This window comes from Homo sapiens, chromosome 11, assembly GCF_000001405.40.
Source record: "Homo sapiens chromosome 11, GRCh38.p14 Primary Assembly".
Taxonomy (NCBI): domain Eukaryota; kingdom Metazoa; phylum Chordata; class Mammalia; order Primates; family Hominidae; genus Homo; species Homo sapiens.
The window spans coordinates 102,214,599-102,234,356 of NC_000011.10; the positions used below are offsets into that span (position 1 = coordinate 102,214,599).

Below are 19,758 nucleotides of genomic sequence, written 5' to 3' on the forward strand. Positions count from 1 at the left end.
TTTCTCTTCGAAGTTCTGATATTAAATAAATCATAGATTTATTTGAAGGTTTTCCAATGAATATATTATATTTTATTTTTAATGGGTACATTGAAAACTTTATATAAGAGGGAAGATTTAGTCTCACACCTCACATACTTTTAACTGGTTATTTCATTTGTTTTATTAAACTTGCCTCTTCCTTGTTATTTGAACAGTGCCATAATAACTTTGAGACCATGATTGAGTAATACAGATTACAAAAGGCCTAATTCCAGAAGTCTATCAGAAAGAATGTAGAATCCTAGGATAATGCTAGGGAACACCAACCTGCCATCCTGTTTTGGATGTGATTTTTCAGAGTTTAAGATTATCATCTAGTTCTCATAACTGTCCCCCAATCCATGTGTATACTTTTTTTAATCAAAAAAGTTGTTCTAAAGTTAAAACTGCTTTGGTAAATGGCATAAACATTAAAAAACATAAAGCATTGGCTCAGTGTTTTAATGACTTTAGAAATAATAAAATGTTTTATTACAGTTTAAAGCTGTGTTGGAAAATAGGGTATGGCAAGACCTCTATCTTAAACAGTTGGAAGAAATGGCATTTTTTTCTATTTTTAGAATTGTTGACATAAACTGCTATCACTAAGGCAAACTACTTACAAGACATATATTTTTAGAGTTATTCTCCATTTCTAAATTTGGATTTCCAGTTCACTAAGTTAATCTTCCTTAAACAAATTGATTACCACCCTCCCTGCAAAAACCCCTTGCTCCTGTGCCATATATTATCGAAAAAAGACACACTTTTATATAATGCAGTATTTACTAAAGACAGAATTGCTTTAAGAAAGTAACACTGACTAGGTAGTTAGCTCCCCAAATCATTAATTCTTATGTTATTTTATTTATTTAAGATGGAGTTTCACTCATCACCCAGGCTGGAGTGCAATGGCACGATCTCGGCTCACTGCAACCTCCTCCTCGTGGGTTCCAAGAGCTTCTCCTGCCTCAACCTCCCAAGTAGTTGGGATTAGAGGCGCACACCACCACCCCCAGCTAATTTTTTTTGTATATTTAGTAGAGACAGGGTTTCACCATGTTGGTCAGGCTGGTCTCGAACTCCTGACCTCAGGTGATCCACCTGCCTTGGCCTCCCAAAGTGTTGGGATTACAGTCATGAGCCACTGCGCCTGGCCTGTTAATATTTTTATATGCAACGAACATAGTATGTTTCATTGGGTTCAGTAAGGAAGATAAAATAGTGTTGCTATTTAAGGGAATTAGTAGACATGGGATAGGGAAATTGCATATATTTATATAAGAAAACAGGCCAGCCTTTTTCTCCCTTTCTTAACAATATGATATGTCTTTGTGGTTCAGTCTAGCCAAAAAACAACAACCTCTGCCTCCCATACAAGCGCGCGTGCTAGCGTGAACACACTCAGATAACAAAGGTTTCAGGAGGCAGAAGTGAAATGGAAATTTCGGAAAGTATCCTACTCCATGCTTTACCTAGTCAGATTATGAAGGAGAATGACCATGAAGTTAGACAAATGAAAGAGTTTTCTCCTATAAGGTGTCCTGCTTCTGGGGAGGAACAGTTAAATCATGTGTTTCCATCGTGAGTAAGTTTTATAATTCCTTGTATTCTTAGCAAAGGATTGTAAATGTGAAAGTGAAGTTACCATAGGAAACTAAGAATTTTAGATGTAAAATAGTGAAAATTTGTTTCAGGGTTATCTAGACATTTTGCTACTTTAAAAAAAAATCTTAATATGGGTAAGCATGAAGTCAAATTAATCCGAATGTTTAATCAAAAATATATTTTATATAAATTCTCCATTATATTACATTTAAAAATAAGCCTGTATATGTCTTATACCTGTGTTAAAAAATGCCAATTATATTTCAATAATGTAATTTTATCAAAACACATTTTCAGTGAATATCAACATTATTTCATAATTGGGTAAATCTGGCATAGCTCTTTTGTAGACAGTCCAATTATGTCCTGAGCCATAAGCCTTGGGACATAATTGGATTGTCTACAAAACTGATTTCAGTTGAAACATTTCATGTTGAAAGTTACGTCTATCTCTAAGAAGTTTTTGGATTATTTTATCCTGAACACAATGCCTAAAATTAGAATACTGGACTAAAAATACAAGTTTGTTAAACTTCTGTTTTCCCAAAGGTAACTAGGATAAATAGTTTGACAGACTTTCAAAACTGGGGAAATAAGTTACAGGAAATTTAGCCAAAACATAATCATGCTTCTGTTCTGTATTTCAAAGGTCAAATAGTTTTTTTCTAACTGAAGCAAGTATTTTTAGCCATTTTCTTCTGTAATAATACAAAAATGTGGTAGCTTTTCCCATTGAGCTTGTAAATCTTAGCTAATGTGGGACACATTTGGAGTCAGAGCTATCTACGCTGTAAGTAAAACTAAGGGTCCCAGTTTGTTCTGGAGGAAACTTTGCAGGGTGGTTCATAAAAGAAAACATGAGTTTGCCTGCTTTATTTAGTGGACTTTTATGGAACCAAGACCTAGCCATAAGCCATTGGCCCTTCTTACTACATTTCTCTCCTCTCATGTAAATAGCAATATAATTTCCCAGAAGTCAAAAAAGATGCTAAGATTATGTAGTTTTGAAAGTTAAGGTATGTTGGCCTTACATAAAATGATGCCTTAGTCCACATCATTTAGAAAAATAATGAGAAAGGCAGTAAAAGTAGTCAGAAGTCTGGAAACACTTAGAATATTTTTAAGGTTTTTTTAAATTTTTAGAGTATCCAAGAGAAACGAAAGCATGTTTCTACACAAAGCCAAAATGTAGAAATAACCCAAATGCCTATCAACAGATGAATAAACAAATGTAATATATTCCTACAGTGGAATACTAGTTAGCAATAAAAAGGAATGAACTGTGGATATAACATGAATGAATCCCAAGATTATCACACTAAGTGAAAAAGTACATGCTGTATGATTTTATTTTAGAAAATTCTAGAAAATACCGAATAATCTACAATGACAAAAAGCAGATGATTAGCTTCTGAAGGTTGAAGTAGGGGAGGTGAGAAGTAGTGGGAGAAAATTTTGAGGATGATTATCTTTTTTTTTTGAGATGGAGGTTCGTTCTTATTGCCCAGGTTGGAGTGCAATGGCGCAATCTCAGCTACCAGAACCTCTGCCTCCCGGGTTCAAGCGATTCTCCTGCCCCAGCCTCCCAAGTCCTCCCGAGTAGCTTGAATTACAGGCACCTGCCATCACACCCAGCTAATTTTTTGTATTTTTAGTAGAGACGGGGTTTCTCCATGTTGGTCAGGCTGGTCTCGAACTCCCAACCTCAGGTGATCTGCCCACCTCACCCTCCCAAAGTGCTGGGATTACAGGTGTGAGCCACTGCACCCGGCTGAGGATGATTATCTTGATTGTAGTGGCAGCTTCACAGGTGTACACACATGTCAAAACTCATCAATTTATGCACTTTATAATTTATTGTATATCCGTTATATATCAAAAAGCTTTTCAAAATTTACTTGGAATATCTAATCACCTGTAACTAAAAGTTTCAAAACTCAGCTGAGTATTTATACCTTTAGTATGCTATCCATAATCTGCATATATGTTATTTGTATCATTGGCCTTGTTACATTAGAGTCATCCCTTGGGGGATTGGTTCCAGCAAGTCCCTTATATAAAATGGCATGCTATTTGCATATAACCTACACACATCCTCCTGTATACCTTAAATCATTTCTAGATTACTTATAATACAATGGAAATGCTATGTAAAGAGCTGTTACACTGTTATAACTGTGTTGTCATTCTGTATTGGGAATAATGGCAAGAAAAATAGTCTATATATGTTAAGTACAGACACAGCCTTCCATTTTTCTTCTCGAATATTTCGATCCATACTTGGTTGCCTTACGGATATGAAAGGCTAACTATATTTGTTTTCATGCCAAATTCTTCCCTATTTGATTAATAATACACTCCTGCCACCAGTAAGTAAAGTGTCTTTTTTTCATTGATTCTTTCAAGTCTAATTTAGGTGAATCCTTAGGTTAGTTACTGTTAGTCATGGCTCAAATATAGGTTTAATGAGAAGAGTGTTTCCATAGCCCTTCAAGGGGTCGGATATCTCCTTAGGTAACTTGGAATGATTTCCCTGCTTACTGACATCTCTAAGTTATCTTTCTTTATAAATCTGCATAGTTGGTTCTGCAGTGTCTGCTGACATAGAAATTCAGTTGTTAAATGAAGTAAAAAGTAAAAATTTCACGGCTTTTAACAAACATAGTGGCCAAATTCAAAGCAGCAAGAACATGGAGAGTCTAGTCTGCACATGATACTAGTTTTAACCTAATAAAAAGTAGGAATTTTATTTAAAAGGCTAAAATAAAAAGTTGTAAAAATAATATGAAAATTATAGCCAATTCAGTTATTTTAGTTATGACTTACAGTTTAGTGTTATATATTTGTTTTGTGCTACAAACAGGAGCATACCTTCTTTGATAAAAAGCAAATGAGAGTCTTTAGAATATTCTCCAATACTCCCATGTTTGTCACAGAACCCTAGGCATCAGCCTTTTCTGGAGTCTATAATTTTATTCATTTTAAAGTTTATTGTTAAATACATCCTCATATTTTAAGAGCAAAATAAATTCTTCAAGGAATTTTAAGTTGTTTTATGCTCCAGAGTAATTCATTCACTCTGGCCTTAGGGGGTACAGCAAAAATAATTACGATATTTTGTGATAAGTGCTGTGTTCAGGATGTTAAAGACATGACATGTCTGTGTCTAATCCAATCTCAAGATCGAGATGGGATCACCACGGAGAGTTTCTTCAAAAAGGTAGTGCCTTCACCAGGTCTTAAATAATACGGAAGAAAGGCATGGTATTGAGAGGATGTGTCCTCCCACAGACAGACTACAATGAGTGTAGTATCACTGTTTTAAAGTCACTTCTCACTTTGTAAGATGAGCATGGGAGGAGTCAAAAGTAGAAGATAGAAAAGAAATAAGAGGGATCCCCATAAGACTGCAAGAAAAGTTAAAAAGATGATGAGTATAAATGAAGTTACTTTTGAGGCAAGCAGGAAGAGGTGGCAAGAGGGGCCAGAAAAATCAAAGATTATACCTGATGACCTGGTTTTTTTTGTTTGTTTTGTTTTTTGTTTTTTGTTTTGAGACAGAGTCTCGCTCTGTCACCTAGGCTGGAGTGCAGTGGCGCAATCTCAGCTCACTGCAACCTCAGCTTCCTGAGTAGCTGGGACTACAGGCATACGCCACCACGCCTGGCTAATTTTTTTATATTTTCAGTAGAGACGGGGTTTCACCATGTTGGTCAGGCTGGTCTCCAACTCCTGACCTCAAATGATCCGCCCACCTCAGCCTCCCAAAGTGCTGGGATTACAGGCGTGAGCCACCACACCCAGCCAATGGCCTCAGTGTTCTAATGTAGATGGAAAAGAAATAGACATGGACTTCACTGGCTGGGCATGGTGGCTCACGCCTGTAATCCTAACACTTTGGGAGGCCAATCGCTTGAGCTCAGGTGTTAAGACCAGCCTGGGCGACATATAGTGAGACCTTGTCTCTACAAAAAAATTTGGAGGAAGAGAAAAGAAAAGAAATGGACTTCCCTGAATAGGGGCTTGAGATAGTATGCCATATTTGGAGTAGTGACCATGAGGATGTGAAAAACAACTGACCAAGAACAAAACAAAACAAAAAAACCAATAAGTGGTACTAGGGTCCATCCAAAACCAAAGACCTTTAATTTGTAATGATAACATTCTGGATAGTTATGTGATTTCTTTTTTTTCTTTTCCCTTAGCATTTCTCAGCAATCTCAGAATGAAAATGGAACAAATACACTTTGGCATTGCTTTGGGGTTGGGATTTGCTGGGCTGAGATAAAATTATATGTACATCAGGAATCTAAAAGGTGCTTATGCTGTTTTGAATGATCAGTCATGAATTTAAGCTTGTAGGGAAGGAGAAAAAAAAATAAGATACCAAAAGACAGCCAATAGACTAGACTAGTAAGGAGAGATGGGTCTGGAGTCTCTGAGGTTGGAGGGCTGGTAGAGTGGACATGAGTCTATGCAGGAACTGGTTAGAAAAAAATGTGAGAAAGTAAAATAAGTGCATGTAAGATTTTGGGGAGAGAAGTTTCTAAGCCAGTTCTTGGGTATGACTGAGGGAATTAATGATTGAAATACAGTGATGAAGTGGTCAGTATCATTTCGGTGTAAAGGCGATCCCGGCATTTCAACAATGGGTTATTATATGGGTTTTATGCATGGAGGTCATAATTCCAATGTGATGAATGCAGTTGGAATGAAGAGAAACACTGATCATCGTCTCAAAACATGACTTAAGATTTTAGAGTTGGTTTGGTTTCAAATAACAGGATCTTAGTGGCTGTGCAATGGGTGTTTGAGTGGAGTGGAGATGAAGGTCACTGGAATCCAGAAGGTTCAGGAAGCTGTCAGGTTAAGTGAATTGTCCATTTAATACTGAAGCATGTTAAGAGGCATGGAGAATACTTGGAGTGGCAAGAGGCTTTGACCAGACTCCAGAATTTTCCCGTATATAAGATGGAGTAACGAAGAGATCAGTAAATTTGAGTACAAGAAGCAGTTTACCTTGCAGGGAAGACAGGCAAACAATTTTGGCATTTGGCCAAGTCCCTAGGTTCCCTCTCAGGACATTGGTGTTTGTTTTTTTTTAAAGTACAGGATTGAAAAGAAAAGGAATTTCATTGATACAGTTAAGAAAATATTAAATAGAAACTTGTGATATAACGTGCTTCTTTTTAATGTATAAATAACAAGATCTAAGGCTGGGTGCAGTGGCCTATGCTTGTAATGCCAGCACTTTGGGCGGCCAAGGAGGGTAGATCATCTGAGCCTGGGAGATTGAGACCAGCTGGGCAACATGGCAAAACCCTGTCTCTACAAAAATACAAAAAATTAGCTGGGTATGGTGGTGTGCCTCTGTGGCTGCAGCTACTCATGAGGCTGAGGCAGGAGGATCACTTGAGCCTAGAAGGTCAAGGCTGCAGTGAGCTATAATTGCATCACTGCATTCCAGATTGGGTGACAGAGTGAGACCCTGTCTCAAAAAGATTAAAAAAAAAAAAAATCTAGAAGCACATCTTATAACGTAACTACTGTAGCATTGAAATAGCAATGATCATAAATGGTATTTTAAAATATTTGCAACAACTACAATGTGATATGAAAACATTTATATGTTCTATTGGTGAAAAGTTAGGTACAGTGAATACTAATGGTGCATACTACATTGGAGAAAATGTTGACAAATTTAGCGAAAGTTAATGTGTAATTTTTTTTTTTTTACCCCATTGAAGTTCAGAGACTCTCTGAATTCTGTCATGGTCCGCTGGTTAAGAAACTCTGGTTTAAAGGATGGTATATCCAGAAGGCATAAACCTAAAGAAAAATAAGTGGTATTTGCATGCAGGAGAATTGTAGTTTAGAAGTGGCAGCGTAGAGCTAGGAGAAGCTTTCCATACTTCAGGACCCCATGGCGATTGTGGAGGTGAGGGCTGGAGATGGTGGGGCCGTGCCTCAGTGAGCAGACTTGGCTCAGAAAGCTGTGTGGAAGGATGACGGAGTCAGGCCAGTATCCTTTGTGATAAGAAACTGTATGTATTTCAAATCAAACCCAAAAAGTAGAGGGAAAGAAAGCTGATGGTCTAGTAGAGATGATGTTTACGATAGGTGGAGAGGCACAGTGAAAATTCTTAGGAGGGTAAGAAACAGTGAACAGATAAAGGAGAGAAAAAGGACAGAGTAGTAATGAGTGTGCTACGGATGGGTCACAGTGAGATGAACTGTTTTTGAGGTCCTGGGCAAATACAGGCTGAAACCTGGGAGGTTTGGAAGCCCTTGAAGGCAGGCCTTCTGCAACCATCAGAGTAGCAACCTACAGCCTTTGCTCAGGTTTACAGGGAGAATCCTGCTGAGAAATTGTTGGATGACCCTGAAGAAATTTTACCCCATTTTAAATATTATGTTTGTGGTGGAGAAGCCTTGGGTTTGTGTTTTAACTTCTGATGTCTTTTTTTCATTTTCCTCCTCTCTCCCTGCTAGAGGATGGAACATATTCTATCCAGCTCAGGATAGAAAAACCTAAAGTCAAAATGAGACATTTAATAGCAAAGTGTGAAATAGTGTTGGGGGTTGGGGAAGGATTGGTGTCTTATAGTAAAATCATCAGATGCTATTCTTCCTACTTCTTTTTTTTTGGCGGGGGAGGGGGTCGGGGGGTTCCAAACACACAAAACCATATAAGAGTTGTCGAGTAAAAGCAAACTTTAAGAATTATTTTTTTAGGGCCGGGCGCGGTGGCTCACGTCTGTAATCCCAGCACTTTTGGGGGGCCAAGGCGGGTGGATCACGAGGTCAAGAGATCGAGACCATCCTGGGTAACATGGTGAAACCCCGTCTCTACTAAAAAAAATACAAAAAATTAGCTGGGCGTGGTGGTGCGTGCCTGTAGTCCCAGCTACTCGGGAGGCTGAGGCAGGAGAATCACTTGAACCCAGGAGGCGGAGGTTGCAGTGAGCCAAGATTGCACCACTGCACTCCAGCCTGGTGACAGAGTGAGACTCCGTCTTGAAGAACAAAAAAAAAAAAAAAAAAAGAAGAATTTTTTTTTAAAGACCAGACTTGCCATTCTATAATAACCCAAAGGAGGATTTGGGAGTATCTTCCAGAGTAAGGAAAATAACAAAAAGAAAACAAAGTAGCAAAATGTATATAGGGTGGGGGGTGGTTAATATGACTAGACAGACTTTAAATATATGTAACTTAATTTTTAGTCATTTGAAATGGATAGAATTAGGTCATTCTGATTGGGAAATGTATTAACTTTAAAGTAGATGTTTTTAATCTATCTGCACGGTTACTCTGATGAACGTTTTATTTCTTTAAACCTAACATTAAATGTGTTAATCAGTAGATTGATTCTCTTTGGCTTTATTTTTAATTAGGAGTTAGCCCTGCGTAGCCAGTTACCAACACTGGAGCAGGATGGTGGGACTCAAAATCCAGTGTCTTCTCCCGGGATGTCTCAGGAATTGAGAACAATGACGACCAATAGCTCAGATCCTTTCCTTAACAGGTTGGTGAAAGTTGCTACTGGTGAATATCTGAAAAGGATCATTGCTTTAAAATCATTCTGCTTAGTGCTTGTAATAGGCTATTTGGAACATCTGTGTGGGCCAAAAACCATAGCTGTAAATGAATCTCTCTGTAAATGGCAAGTACATGCAGAGTTGAGGATTAAAAGTTGTCTCCTGTGAGAGGAAGTGAACTGTTCAGACTTGTACAAGGGATACTTATTCAAAGTCATGACGTGTTTGCTTCTGCCTATACTGTTGACTAACAGTTACTTAAAATTACAGAATCATGAAGGAACATGTGAATGCCTTTCTGTGAAAGCAAATGAATTTCATGTTAAACCTACTTAGGATTGCATTATAAGGATCACTGGAAGGAATTTTCCACATAGCTATTCAAGCTAAAACGTTTCACCCAGCAGCACTGTAAGGCCTCATGTTCTTAAGGGCTATAGTCCAAGGAGATAAAATGTAAGGTTGTGCCTCTTTCAAAAATGCACTAAGATTAACGGCAGTATTTGAAAATAACATAGCTTAGGGATGCTTCTTAGTGAGTTACCACAAATCCTGGGTTTCAGACAGATTGCAATATTACATAAACTGCCATTTTGAAGTCTGTAAGCTGAAACAGGTCATATTCTTTGCCTAGGAAGTCATTTAAGATTAAGATTTAACTAAAATTCCTTCTTCTAGGTTGTGGAGTTTCAAACTTTTTAAAATATGGGATTAGTTTACGCTTTGGATTCCTTTTCTAACTGATTTAAATAACACACTTTCTTAAATACTCAAAGGTATTTTGCACTAGGAAAACTATTACACCACCTTTTCAGTTCTCACCAATTGAATTGGAAACTTAGTAATTCCAAGAGAAAATATCTTATCCTGCTAAAAGTATTTAGTGCAATAGAATTCACCATTTACTCAGTTTTTAAGATTAGTACTGGTGGCCTAGTTGGAAGGTTTGATTTTGAAGACCATCTAAAATGTATTTTAAGTTTGTATTTACTCTTCTGACATACACTTTAAAGTTCTAAAAGTAAGTGTATTTATATAAGATTATAGTTCTAGACTTAAACTGAGGCTAATTAAGAGAGGCATAGCCTCAGAACTTTTTTTCCAACAAGGAAAATTTCATATCCATGTAATTCCAGTACCTGTCTTGTTGAAGGGGCTATATTAATCCCAGGGATAAAAATTAGACCATTTTAAAAATGGATAGGCTGCATATCCTTCTGACAGTCACTTATGAAGATTTTTTTTCTTAAAACTTTTGATGAGAGCTGGGCTACAATTTGAGATTCTATTTTCTGGGAAGATCAGAGTGGCAGATAATCAGTGTTACTAATCTAAGGGCAGAATTGTATATGCATTCTCTGCAGTACCCCCAGTTTCTAATAATAACATACATCTGACTTTGACTTTTTTTTTCTTTAAAAAAAAAAACAACTCTTGGCTGGGCATGATGGCTCATGCCTGTAATCCCAGCACTTTGGGAGGCCAAGGCAAGTGGACCACCACCTGGGGTAAGAGTTCGAGACCAGCCTGACCAACATGGCGAAACCCCATCTTTACTAAAAATACAAAATTAGTTGGGCATGGTCACGCATGCCTATAATCCCAGCTACTCGGGAGGCTGAGGCAGGAGAATCGCTTGAACCCGGGAGGCAGAGGTTGCGGTGAGCCGAGATCATGCCGTTGCACTCCAGCCTGGGCAACAAGAGTGAAACTTGGTCTCAAAAAACAAAAAGACAAACAAAAAAACCTCTTGATGGTTTTTCCCTTGTTTACTATTTGATTTATGTATATTCCTTAAGCTCTAAATACTTTTTGCCCCAACTTGCCTTGGCATTGACTCTTAGTAGTAATGCTGAGTTCCCTTAGTTCCCTTTTACTTTTACCCTCAAAGCTCACTCAGATGTCCCCCTCCATGAAACTTTTACCCTTTACTTCTAAGCTCCCTGTTTGTTCTGAAAGCACTGTGCTTACATCTGAGTTCATATAGCCCCTAAATATGATTCATTAGTATATTTGTTCATTTCCCTCCTTGAAGTTGTGAGCCTCTCACAAAACATTGTTTGTAGGTGGTGGTGATTGTTAACCTCTTTATCCTCAAAGCCTAGTCTAATGCCTGTCATGTAGTAGCAGATGCTCAGTGAATGTTTACTGAATGAGTGGGGCCTGTAGGAAGTGGGGTTCTGCAGGGAGCAGTTCCTCACCAGGAAAATGGCCCTGTAAACTCTGTCCTCAGGAATGCCCATGTGCTTCCCCTGTGGTTTGGAATGAACTCTGCGCAACTCTGTAAGTTCAGTTATTCAGTAATAGACTAAAATGTCTGATGTGTGTCCCATGCTTAGCAGCCGAATAGAGTGATGACTAGGACCAGGCTCTTGTCCCAGATCAGGGCAGGCAAAATACAAACAAACCACATCCTGAGGCCTTCTCATATATGGCTGCATTGTATACCAATGGTCTCAGAGGCAAATGTGTGTTTTCTTGGATCTGTGTGAGGCTTTTGAGCCTTGGCAAAATCTGGCAGAAGCATTAGAGTAAACCAGTGATGGCAGTATATAGAATGAGGGGAGAGAGAGAACAAGGCAAATGCATTGCATCATTTAGGGAAGGCAGTTGGGGTATTGACTGAGCTTTTAGCCTTGAGCAATTGTTAAACTTGTTTTTATTTTTTAACTTTTATGTAAGTTAAATAGCTGCTTATTAAATGTACAAGCCGTAGAGAAAGTTGAAGTTCACACTCACACAGACCATTGAAGAATAACAGCTGCCTTGATTTTATGCGTTTCTCTAAGATTTTGTAGAGTTAGTAGAACTCAGGGAATGCCAGCTGATGTCTAGATGCTACTAGCTTAGGAAAGTGTTCTATTTCTCAGGGTAATGGATATTTACCATACTTTTAATGTAAATCTGGGAAACCTTACTTAGTCTAAAGTGAAAATCTGTGTTGGGTCATTTTATTTTCAAGGGATGTGCCTTGCAGTTTTTTGTTTTGCTCTTTTCTTTAACTGGAGCTATATGATTTCCCGTTTCGTTTCGTACTGAAGTGTTTGAGGCTTTTTCCTCCCCCGCCCAAACACAGAAGCAAGGAGATCAAGCCACGAGTATTCTTATCTTATTGGCAGTGACTCACCTATTTTGGCTCAGTCCTAAAAGGAATTCTGGTGGTTTATTTGGGGTTGATTTTTCCTTGGCTTATGTTCTCTGCACAATAGCTAGGAATTTAACTTGAGTCTAGTGCAGACCTGTCTCCTCGCCCACCTGGAGTTTGTGTTGTGACGTCTCTGTGCCACCACCACCTGGAGAATTGAGGCCTTGGGACAAGTAAGTTGTATGGGTTCCTCCGCACCCCCAGATTCAAATGATATTACAGAGAGGAGAATACTGATGCAGAGAATTTTCTGTCAGCCAGGAAAACTAACTGGGGGTATCTTTTTTTGTCCCTTATTGTCACCAAGCACAGAACCTTAGGAGAAATCTTGGTTCCTTAGAGCTGCCAGCTTCAATTAGGATTAACTTGTCTATTTCACTTCATAGCACAAGCCCTGTCTATGGCCCTGAGGGAGGGTGCTTGTTTCAGACATTGCAGGACAGGAATTTTCACTAATCCTCTTTGAGAATTATGTTGCTGCTCAGCAGGTGTTTATTTTTACCTTGAATTGATTTTTAAAATTTTTTGTGTTGGTCTTTAACTGTCATGTTTATGTAGTGGCACCTATCACTCTCGAGATGAGAGTACAGACAGTGGACTAAGCATGAGCAGCTACAGTGTCCCTCGAACCCCAGATGACTTCCTGAACAGTGTGGATGAGATGGATACAGGTTGGTATTCTTTATTCCTCTTAGTAACCTGACTTAACAGTGGGATATGTTATCACCAGGTCTCATAAGGTATTGTAAGCAAAGATGATTCAGAAGAAAACCAATTAAAATCCTGTAAATTTGAATTAAATTGATCCTGCTTTGTCTCTATACGGTGATTTGTAACTTGTCTTTTCCTAGTTTAAAAAAATATATATCATGGATTGGCCGGGTGCAGTGGCTCATGCCTCTAATTCCAGCATTTTGGGAGGCCAAAGTGGGTGTATTGTTTGAGCCCAGGAGTTCAAGACCAGTCTGGGCAACATGGTGAAACCCCATCTCTATAAAAAAACATACAAAAATAAGTCAGCTGTCATGGTACATGCCTGTAGTCCCAGCTACTCAGGAGGCTGAGGTGGGAGGATGGATTGAGCCCCGGTGATCACACCACTGCACTCCAGTTTGGGTGACAGAATGAGACCTCTTCTCAAAAAAAAAAAAAAAAAATCATAAATTGGATATATTAGCTCTATTTGAATAAAACTCTGATAACATGACTTATGTTAGCATGTTGATCTTAATTGGCAGGACAAACTGACAACCCTGTTAGAACATCTCTCTCCTTATAGATTAGTGTCCTTAATTTTGAGAGATGTCTACATGTAATTCAGTGTTTGTCTTCATCTTTTCTCTAAGAGTTTTTGGTCCACCTTAAGTGTTATGGGGCTCAGGAAACCAGGTGGGAAAGACTAGGAGGTGGGGCTCACTTACTTTGTTAGAATAGTTGCAGAAGGCCAGGTGCGGTGGCTTAAACCTGTAATCCCAGCACTTTGGGAGGCCGAGGTAGCCAGATCACGTGAGGTCATAAGTTCAAGACCAGCCTGGCCAACATGGTGAAACCCTGTCTCTACTAAAAATATAAAAATTAGCCACATGTGGTGGTATGCACCTGTAATCCCAGCTACTCGGGAGACTGAGGCAGGAGAATCATTTGAACCCGGGAGGCGGAGGTTGCAGTGAGCCAAGATCACACCACTGCACTCCAGCCTGGGTGACAGAGCAAGACTCCGTCTCAAAAAAAAAAAAAAAAAAAAAAAAAAAGAATAGTTGCAGGGGTCTTGCAGGAGCTAAGAAATACCTGCCTCACAGGGGTAATTACGGAAGCATTTCTCCTGTGGCTTACCTGGCAACCATTGCCCTAGAGTTGACAACTGCCAGAGTGCATGAATTGGCAGGGAAATGAAGCTGTTCTTTAGCTACCAACTCTTTCACTAACTGCTTCTATTCTGAAAGTGTTTAGCAAGGCTTTTGTGCCTGTATTCATCCAGCTCCTGGCTTTGATGCTTTCTAGAATCCACACTACCCCTCCTCTCTGATTATCTAGATGTTAAATCATCCTTAGGAGCCACTTCAAACCCATTTCACACACAACACCTTTACTTACTCCTCTAATCTGTATTGCTCTCTTCTCCAGACCCCTGTAGCACTTAATGGTTTATGTTAGTTTTTCTGAAAGTATGTTCTATTGAAGCTCTGAGGAGTGTTAATGTTGTCATATGCAAAAAAGGCTCTGTGGCCAAGTAAGTTTGGGAAACCTAGAAGCAAGGCTAGGAAGATGGATTTATTCAAAGCCCTCTGGGAAGGCTTGTTTTGCTGTTAGGAAGGTGCATCTCCTAAGGGTAGAATAAAGTATTCTTGCAGTCTTTCTATTTTAGTGTTTCCCAAAGTATATTTAAGGCCAAGGTAGGTCTATACCACTCATGTTTATGTTTAGTCTTATTATGGTGGTGCTTATCTGGAAGACAGGGTAGTGATGCTGTCGTGTTGTGTACTTGTTCTTTCTCCCGCTGCTGCATATAATTTTTCAAGGGCTTTTTTATTTTTTTCATGACTCCTTTAGTGCTCAGCACATAATAGCAATCAAGCTGTTATTGGATATCTGAACAATGTTGAAGCAAAAGTAAACTTGGCATTGTTATTTTGTTATCTGTGAGTTGTTTGACCTGATATAAATTCTAGGTATCAGTTTAGGTCAGTCAGGAGCGCTTTTCTTTCCCTGTGCATTTCTCTGTGCTCATATGATACAGCCCTGATGTTAGCTTTTCAAAAAGGACTTTGTTATCTCTGTGTGTTTCCACTAGGTGATACTATCAACCAAAGCACCCTGCCCTCACAGCAGAACCGTTTCCCAGACTACCTTGAAGCCATTCCTGGGACAAATGTGGACCTTGGAACACTGGAAGGAGATGGAATGAACATAGAAGGAGAGGAGCTGATGCCAAGTCTGCAGGAAGCTTTGAGTTCTGACATCCTTAATGACATGGAGTCTGTTTTGGCTGCCACCAAGCTAGATAAAGAAAGCTTTCTTACATGGTTATAGAGCCCTCAGGCAGACTGAATTCTAAATCTGTGAAGGATCTAAGGAGACACATGCACCGGAAATTTCCATAAGCCAGTTGCAGTTTTCAGGCTAATACAGAAAAAGATGAACAAACGTCCAGCAAGATACTTTAATCCTCTATTTTGCTCTTCCTTGTCCATTGCTGCTGTTAATGTATTGCTGACCTCTTTCACAGTTGGCTCTAAAGAATCAAAAGAAAAAAACTTTTTATTTCTTTTGCTATTAAAACTACTGTTCATTTTGGGGGCTGGGGGAAGTGAGCCTGTTTGGATGATGGATGCCATTCCTTTTGCCCAGTTAAATGTTCACCAATCATTTTAACTAAATACTCAGACTTAGAAGTCAGATGCTTCATGTCACAGCATTTAGTTTGTTCAACAGTTGTTTCTTCAGCTTCCTTTGTCCAGTGGAAAAACATGATTTACTGGTCTGACAAGCCAAAAATGTTATATCTGATATTAAATACTTAATGCTGATTTGAAGAGATAGCTGAAACCAAGGCTGAAGACTGTTTTACTTTCAGTATTTTCTTTTCCTCCTAGTGCTATCATTAGTCACATAATGACCTTGATTTTATTTTAGGAGCTTATAAGGCATGAGACAATTTCCATATAAATATATTAATTATTGCCACATACTCTAATATAGATTTTGGTGGATAATTTTGTGGGTGTGCATTTTGTTCTGTTTTGTTGGGTTTTTTGTTTTTTTTGTTTTTGGCAGGGTCGGTGGGGGGGTTGGTTGGTTGGTTGGTTTTGTCGGAACCTAGGCAAATGACCATATTAGTGAATCTGTTAATAGTTGTAGCTTGGGATGGTTATTGTAGTTGTTTTGGTAAAATCTTCATTTCCTGGTTTTTTTTACCACCTTATTTAAATCTCGATTATCTGCTCTCTCTTTTATATACATACACACACCCAAACATAACATTTATAATAGTGTGGTAGTGGAATGTATCCTTTTTTAGGTTTCCCTGCTTTCCAGTTAATTTTTAAAATGGTAGCGCTTTGTATGCATTTAGAATACATGACTAGTAGTTTATATTTCACTGGTAGTTTAAATCTGGTTGGGGCAGTCTGCAGATGTTTGAAGTAGTTTAGTGTTCTAGAAAGAGCTATTACTGTGGATAGTGCCTAGGGGAGTGCTCCACGCCCTCTGGGCATACGGTAGATATTATCTGATGAATTGGAAAGGAGCAAACCAGAAATGGCTTTATTTTCTCCCTTGGACTAATTTTTAAGTCTCGATTGGAATTCAGTGAGTAGGTTCATAATGTGCATGACAGAAATAAGCTTTATAGTGGTTTACCTTCATTTAGCTTTGGAAGTTTTCTTTGCCTTAGTTTTGGAAGTAAATTCTAGTTTGTAGTTCTCATTTGTAATGAACACATTAACGACTAGATTAAAATATTGCCTTCAAGATTGTTCTTACTTACAAGACTTGCTCCTACTTCTATGCTGAAAATTGACCCTGGATAGAATACTATAAGGTTTTGAGTTAGCTGGAAAAGTGATCAGATTAATAAATGTATATTGGTAGTTGAATTTAGCAAAGAAATAGAGATAATCATGATTATACCTTTATTTTTACAGGAAGAGATGATGTAACTAGAGTATGTGTCTACAGGAGTAATAATGGTTTCCAAAGAGTATTTTTTAAAGGAACAAAACGAGCATGAATTAACTCTTCAATATAAGCTATGAAGTAATAGTTGGTTGTGAATTAAAGTGGCACCAGCTAGCACCTCTGTGTTTTAAGGGTCTTTCAATGTTTCTAGAATAAGCCCTTATTTTCAAGGGTTCATAACAGGCATAAAATCTCTTCTCCTGGCAAAAGCTGCTATGAAAAGCCTCAGCTTGGGAAGATAGATTTTTTTCCCCCCAATTACAAAATCTAAGTATTTTGGCCCTTCAATTTGGAGGAGGGCAAAAGTTGGAAGTAAGAAGTTTTATTTTAAGTACTTTCAGTGCTCAAAAAAATGCAATCACTGTGTTGTATATAATAGTTCATAGGTTGATCACTCATAATAATTGACTCTAAGGCTTTTATTAAGAAAACAGCAGAAAGATTAAATCTTGAATTAAGTCTGGGGGGAAATGGCCACTGCAGATGGAGTTTTAGAGTAGTAATGAAATTCTACCTAGAATGCAAAATTGGGTATATGAATTACATAGCATGTTGTTGGGATTTTTTTTAATGTGCAGAAGATCAAAGCTACTTGGAAGGAGTGCCTATAATTTGCCAGTAGCCACAGATTAAGATTATATCTTATATATCAGCAGATTAGCTTTAGCTTAGGGGGAGGGTGGGAAAGTTTGGGGGGGGGGTTGTGAAGATTTAGGGGGACCTTGATAGAGAACTTTATAAACTTCTTTCTCTTTAATAAAGACTTGTCTTACACCGTGCTGCCATTAAAGGCAGCTGTTCTAGAGTTTCAGTCACCTAAGTACACCCACAAAACAATATGAATATGGAGATCTTCCTTTACCCCTCAACTTTAATTTGCCCAGTTATACCTCAGTGTTGTAGCAGTACTGTGATACCTGGCACAGTGCTTTGATCTTACGATGCCCTCTGTACTGACCTGAAGGAGACCTAAGAGTCCTTTCCCTTTTTGAGTTTGAATCATAGCCTTGATGTGGTCTCTTGTTTTATGTCCTTGTTCCTAATGTAAAAGTGCTTAACTGCTTCTTGGTTGTATTGGGTAGCATTGGGATAAGATTTTAACTGGGTATTCTTGAATTGCTTTTACAATAAACCAATTTTATAATCTTTAAATTTATCAACTTTTTACATTTGTGTTATTTTCAGTCAGGGCTTCTTAGATCTACTTATGGTTGATGGAGCACATTGATTTGGAGTTTCAGATCTTCCAAAGCACTATTTGTTGTAATAACTTTTCTAAATGTAGTGCCTTTAAAGGAAAAATGAACACAGGGAAGTGACTTTGCTACAAATAATGTTGCTGTGTTAAGTATTCATATTAAATACATGCCTTCTATATGGAACATGGCAGAAAGACTGAAAAATAACAGTAATTAATTGTGTAATTCAGAATTCATACCAATCAGTGTTGAAACTCAAACATTGCAAAAGTGGGTGGCAATATTCAGTGCTTAACACTTTTCTAGCGTTGGTACATCTGAGAAATGAGTGCTCAGGTGGATTTTATCCTCGCAAGCATGTTGTTATAAGAATTGTGGGTGTGCCTATCATAACAATTGTTTTCTGTATCTTGAAAAAGTATTCTCCACATTTTAAATGTTTTATATTAGAGAATTCTTTAATGCACACTTGTCAAATATATATATATAGTACCAATGTTACCTTTTTATTTTTTGTTTTAGATGTAAGAGCATGCTCATATGTTAGGTACTTACATAAATTGTTACATTATTTTTTCTTATGTAATACCTTTTTGTTTGTTTATGTGGTTCAAATATATTCTTTCCTTAAACTCTTCTTTGTTGTTTTTAACAATTGATATTTGAAACTTTTTTTTTTTTTGGCTTCTTACTGGTCTTCCAATAGAACAAGAACTGGCAATAAAAGGTGATTACAGTAGTAACTGGGAAGACAAGTTAAACTTAAGTTTCGTTGTGCTTTAAGTTAGGCTTGACATTTGGAACTTTTGAAGTATGGATATATAATTCTTTTAACTTTGTGTTCTTACTCTTCACATACACCATCCTCATCCGTGGTAGTGTCTAAGCAGAACTGCGTCTGCTTGATTCTTAAATGACTTCACTACATGTGACGGCACAGAGGACACTGAGAACATAAGAACATGGCACTGTCTTTCAGAATGGCCTTTGGTTTTACTTCTTTAATATATTCTCTCAGGCCAGGCGTGGTGGCTCACGCCTGTAATCCCAGCACTTTGGGAAGCCAAGGCAGGCGGATTACCTGAGGTTGGGAGTTCAAGACCAGCCTGACCAACATGGAGAAACCCCGTCTCTACTAAAAATACAAAATTAGCTGGGCGTGGTGTCGCATGCCTGTAATCCCAGCTACTCGGGAGGCTGAGAATATATATATATTCTGTTCTATTTTGGAGGTCATGAGAGAATATTATATATTAGTAAAAAGCATTACTTACTGGCTTATAAATAAAAACATTCACAAATTGAAGTGGTAGGTCCTGACCTTTGAATAAGAAGTAGATTTGAGTATCTTTAAAGATGGCTGGACGTGGTGGCTCACGCCTGTAATTTCAGCATTGTGGGCGGAGGCTGAGGCGGACAGATCACCCGAGGTCAGGAGTTCGACAGCAGCCTAGTCAACATGGTGAAACCCCATCTGTACTAAAAATACAAAAATTAGCTGGGCATGGTGGTGCATGCTTGCAATCCCAGCTACTTGAGAGGCTGAGGTGGGAGGATCACTTGAACCCGT

The 19,758-nt window shown here is 38.3% G+C and overlaps 1 protein-coding gene across 14 annotated transcripts in view; it reads left to right on the plus strand.

Annotated features, from left to right (window-relative positions):
• Positions 1-18,826, plus strand: part of YAP1 (Yes1 associated transcriptional regulator) — a 122,978-nt gene extending 104,152 nt beyond the window's left edge. For all 14 annotated transcript variants that reach the window (XM_005271378.4, XM_005271381.4, XM_005271380.4 and 11 more), the window contains 3 exons: positions 9,024-9,154; positions 12,871-12,983; positions 15,104-18,826. In XM_005271378.4, the coding sequence (XP_005271435.1) occupies positions 9,024-9,154; positions 12,871-12,983; positions 15,104-15,342 (483 nt within the window). In that variant the 3' untranslated portion in view covers positions 15,343-18,826. The remainder of the gene's footprint in view (positions 1-9,023; positions 9,155-12,870; positions 12,984-15,103) is intronic.